The sequence below is a fragment of the Homo sapiens genome, chromosome 11, assembly GCF_000001405.40.
Source record: "Homo sapiens chromosome 11, GRCh38.p14 Primary Assembly".
NCBI classification, from domain to species: Eukaryota; Metazoa; Chordata; class Mammalia; order Primates; family Hominidae; genus Homo; species Homo sapiens.
Genome location: NC_000011.10, coordinates 106,546,368 through 106,552,127, shown reverse-complemented (window position 1 = coordinate 106,552,127; position 5,760 = coordinate 106,546,368).

The following is a 5,760-nucleotide window of genomic DNA, read 5'->3' as shown; positions in this document are numbered from 1 at the left end:
CTCTGGCTCTGTGAAGTGCTGCACCCCCCTGGACCCAGCTTCACCTCCTCCCCATGCCCTCCCTGCAGAAGCCATGGAGGAGGGGAATAACGGAGTGCCAGGGTCCATAGCCATGGAAGCTCCAGGCCTGGGGGCAGGTCCTGTCCAGCCACGTGTGGATAGTGACAGTGCATTCAACTGCGTTGGGGATGGGGCACAGGGGACCCACTGCCACCATTGCTGCACCTGCAGCTGCTGCCACCACTGCCCATGCCTCCCTGCTGCAGCCTCCTTGCTGCAGCCAGCTGACGGCAGCGGCCACTCCGGATGGCCTGTTGCTGCCATCACTATCATATGATATAGCCATACCAGTCTTAGGTATTTATCCAAAAGAAATGAAAGCTCATGTGCTCAAACAAAAAGACGTTCATAACAACTTTTTTTTAATAGCCCCAAACTGGAATAACCCAAATGTCCATCATGAGGTGAATGGATAAAGAAATTGTGGTATAAAATGAAATATTACTTAGCAGTAACAAGGAATGAACTATTGATACACAAAAAACAATATTGTTTTCCAAAATAATTTTGCCACATGAAAGTAGATAGAAAAGACAGAATACATACTTTCTTATTCCATTATATAAAATTCAAGAAAGTGCAAACTAATTTATAGTGACAACAAGCAGGTCGGTGGTTAGCTGCTAATTAAATAATAGATTGTGGCAGGTAGGAGGGATTACAAAATATCATGAGGAACTTTTTGGTGGTGAGGGATATGTTCATTATTTTTATTTTGATGAGGACTTCATGGGTGTATATGCATCTCAAAATTTAGCAAATTATATACTTGAAGTGTATATAGTATACTGTATGCCAATTGCATCTCAACAAAGCTATTAAAAGAAATTAACATAAAATCCCAACAGCGCACTATATATCTTCTCATGCAAACACACACACATTCTACATCCATACCTAAATAAAATTATAGAGAGGAAAAATAAGAAGCTTGCATCACCTATTCTATTACTCAACACATGTTCATTATTCACCTACAATGGACTAAAAACTATGCTGTACATTTAAGGTAAAAATATGAATTGGACATAAGCGTGCTTACAGTCACATTGCTGCCTTTGTAACTATTTGTCTTAAGGGTTACTTTAACCACAAATTCACTGAGGATAGGAACTATCTGAGAGCAGGGGCCATCACAACCTACTTTATTGTTCTAGCCCAAGGTTTCCTAACCTTGACACTATTGATATTTTGAGCTGAATACTTATTTGCTGTGTGGGGCTGTCTTATGCAATGTAGGATGTTTAGTAGCATCCTTGGCTTCTACAGACTAGATGCTAGCAGCCCCCCTTACCTCCAAATTGAGACAACTAACACTGTGTCCAGGCATTGCTAAGTCCCCCCTCAGAAGGCAAAATTGCTCCCACTTGAAAACCACTGCTATAGCTAAAGTTCATAGCACAATGATGGGTACATGTCAGATGTTGAATATACATTTTTTGTGCAGATAAAAATATATCATTTGTACAAAAATATTGAGCACATGTCATGAATAAGTATGCAATGTAGTTTGTTCCCGATCATGCATTTTTGCTTAACACGATCCTGTTCAATGGCATACAAGAACCTAGGGCAGGTCACATTTTATGCATTTTTATGTGTGAATATTTCTTTGGGAAAAGACTCCCCTTTTTTTCTGAGGCCCTCTAATCTTTCTATCAATAGAAGAGTCTGAATGAGCTAAACTATTTTTTTCCATTGCTGTGGGGTCATAGTTCTTCCTTCACTAAGAGTTTATTGAGTTTATTTCATCTTTCAGATGGTAAATAAAGCCAGCTCAGAGTGTCCACAGTCTGGAGATAACAATATGAAAAGAACAAGCTCACATTAACTTTCTTAACTTGCTTTTCTGTTTTTAGTTATTCTAGCTAAGCTGAGAAGACCACTTGAAAGGATTTCTCACCTTCTTAACAGGCAGTTTAAATTCCTCAGAAGAAAGGACAGAGAATGTACAATTTTGGTTTTGGCTAAAAAAGGGTAGGTTTAAATCTGAGGGTAGGCAAAGAAGAGGGCTTCTACCTGGAATCATTTTGTGAGTAGTGGGAAATTTTGCCCAATTAAAAGTGTTTCCTTTCTTTCTCCTCAATTCAATTACAATATAATCAAATCTTACTTTTTGAAAGCTCACTTTGAACCAGACACTGAATAAGGTTCCAGATCATAGGCATAAATAAGAGAATGACAGTTTCTGTTCTCAGACAAGCTACAAGCAAGTCTGAAAAGCAAATTTTGCATCTGGATGTACAAAAGAAAAAATATGAGACAGCATGGGAGAATGTAGCAGGGGAATTTTGACTCCTTGGGGTTCAGGGAGGCCTTCTTCAGAAGGTGATGTTTAAGCTAAAACATGATGATAGAGTAGGATTTAACCAGGTTTGGATAAAGTCAGCATGTGCACAGGCTAAAACGCTAAGCTTTATGCTTAAGGCGTCTATAGTTTTTTTTCTTATACAGGCATACTTTACATATAATGAATTGCTTATATATAAAGTTTACACAATTTGGCATTTCGACAGATGTATACACCTGTAAAACTATTCCCATAAAAACAGAAAAACTGTCACCATAATGAAGGTAGTGAACATATTAATCAACCCCAAATTTTTTCTCATATCCCCTTGTCATTCTTCCCTTCTGTGCTATCATACTCCTTCCCATACTAAAACAATCACTGAACATCTTTGTCACAATAGATTAGTGTGCACTTTTTAACATTTTATATAAATGAAAAAATATATATGCCCTCATTTGTCTGGCTTCTTTTATTCAGCATGTTCATTTTCAGTTCACCCATGTTGCTATATGTATCAATTGCTTATTCCCTTTTATGGCTAAATAGTAAGGTTGAGTATGCTTTATTCAAAATGCTTGGAATCACAAGTATTTCAGATTTTTGATTTTTTTTTCAGATTTTGAAATATTGGCATTCTATTTACTAGCTGAGCATCTCTAATCCAAAAATCCAAATGCTACAATGAACATGTTTTAAAGCATCATATCAGTACGCAAAAAGTTTTGAATTTTGGAACATTTTAGATTTTGGAATTTTGAATTTGGGATGCTCAACATGTATTTCATTTAATGAAGACATAGCACTTTCTTTAACCATTGACTTCTTGATAGACATTTGATTTGTTTCCAGTTTTGGGCTGTTATAAATAAAGCTTCAGTGAACATTCATGTTTAAAATATCTGTATGAACATATGATTTTCTCTTAGATGAGTACCTTTGACTATGCATTTTCCATTTGCATTGTTATAAAGGAACACCTGAGGCTGGGTAATTTATAGAGAAAAGAGATTTATTTGGCTCACAGTTCTGCAGGCTGTACTAACATGGCACCAGCATCTGTATGGCTGCTGATGAGGCCCAAGACGCTTTACTTATGGCAAAAAGTGAAGAGAAGCAGGCCTGTCACATGGTTAGAGATAGAGCAAAGAGAAAGGAGGATGTGCCAGAAGCCTTTTAAACAACCAGCTCTTTTGTGAACTACCAGAGCATTAGTGTGGAATAATAGAGCAAGAACTAATAGAACTAATGAGCAAGAACTCATTTATCACTAAAAGGATGGCGCTAAGCCATTCATGAAGGATTCACTCCCATAATCCAAACACCTTCCTCTAGGGCCACCTCCAGTATTGGAGATCACATTTCAACATGAGATTTGGAGGGGAAAAAAACATCCAAACTCTATTGGACTAAAACAATATATTTCCACCATTAGTGTATGAGAATTCCAGTTCCTCCATATTCTTGTCAACACTTGGTAGAGCTAGTTGTCGTTTAGCCTTTCTAATAAACATGTTGTGATGTCACTGGAATTTTCTGTGATATCACTGGAATTTTCCTGATGATTAATGATGTTGAATGTTTTCGTGTGTGTCATCCATATATCTTCTTTGATGAAGTGTCTGTTCAAATATCTTGCCCAATTTTTATTTGTTGTTTATTTTCTTATTATTTAGGATTGTTTATTTTCTTATTATTTAGATTACAGAATTCTTTATATATTTTGGATACAAGTTTTTATCAGAAGTATAGTTTGCAAATATTTTCTCTCAGTCTTTGGCTTGCCTTTTCATTCTTTTATCAGTGTCTTTCAAAGAGCAGAGGTTTTAATATTAAAGTCCAATTTATCTTTTTGGACTTTTTGGTTTTAAGTATTACGCTTTCGTTGTTTGTCTAATCCAATGTCACAAAGAATGTTCTTTACTATGTTTTCCTTTACATGTTTTTAGTTTCAAGTTTTACATATAAATATATGATCCATTTTGAGTTTTTGATATAGTAAGAGGTATGGATTAAAGTTCTTTTTTTGCATGTGAATATTCAATAGCTACAACACCATTTGCTGAAAATAATATTCTTTCCCCACTGAGCTGCCTCTACACCTTTTCCAAAATTTAGCTGTCTGTCCCTATATGTAGGGTTCTATTTCAGGATGATCTGTTTAGTTCTATTGGTTGCTTTTTCAATTTTTATGCTGATGTCATACACTCTTTATAAATTTAGCTTTATATTAAAATTTTAAATTCAAGTATTGTTAGTCCTCTAATTTTCATCTTCATTTTCAAGTTTATTGTAGCTATTCTAGAGCCATTTGCATTTTTTATGAATTTTAAAATCACTTTGTCAATTCATCAAAAAGACTTCTGAGATTTTTATGGGACTGTGTTGAATATTTGAATTTTGGGAGAACTGACATCTTACCAATACTTGGTCTTCTGGCCCATGAACTTGGTATTTCTCTCCATTTGTTTATGTTTTCCTTGATTTTTTTAAACAATGTTTTGATTGTAGTTTTGTCAGATTTGTCAGATTCATCTCTAAGTATGTCATATTTTGTAAGATTTGTCCCTAAGCATATTATATTTTTGTGCTATTTTAAATGGAATGATTTTTTTTCAATTCTGGTTTGTTTCTTGAATATAGAAATATAATTGATATTTTTATATTGATTTTGTATTGTGCAACCTTGCTAAACATACATGCTAGTTACTATAGGAGCTACTTATCACAAACTCCAAAACTTTTTCTACATAAACTGTCATGTCTTCTGCAAATAAAGATTATTTCATATCTTATTTTTTAAACTTGATGTATGTTTTACTTCTTATTTTACTGGCTATTGCCACAAGTACAATGTTGAATAAGAGTGGTGAGAGTAGAAATCCCTACCTTGTCCTTCTTCTTTGGGAGAAATCAACCAGTGTGTCACTACTAAGTTGGGTGTTAACTTTAGGTTTTGTACATAATCTTTATTAAGTACAAGAACTTCCCTTCTATTATAGTTTTCTGAGAGGATTTTTTTAGGAATAGATGTTGGATATTGCCATTTTTTTCAGAATCCTTTGGAATAATCATACGTTCTTGTTAGTTTATTAATATCATTAATAACTTTAGTTATTATTGATCTCTTTATGAGATCAACATTACATTCATAGGATCAATCCATTTGGTCATATATATACATATATATATATATGAATTAGATTTGCTAAAACTTAGTTTGGAAATTTTGAATCTACATTTACAAGTGATGTTGGCCTATAGTTTTCTTTTCTTGTAATACATTTGTCTTGTTTTGAAATCATATATTCAATGGAGAGACTGATTTGAAAGTATTCCCTACTCTTCAATTTTATGGAAAATATTATACAGACTTTTTTTACTTCTTTTAAAAAGTTTTTAGATGTCAC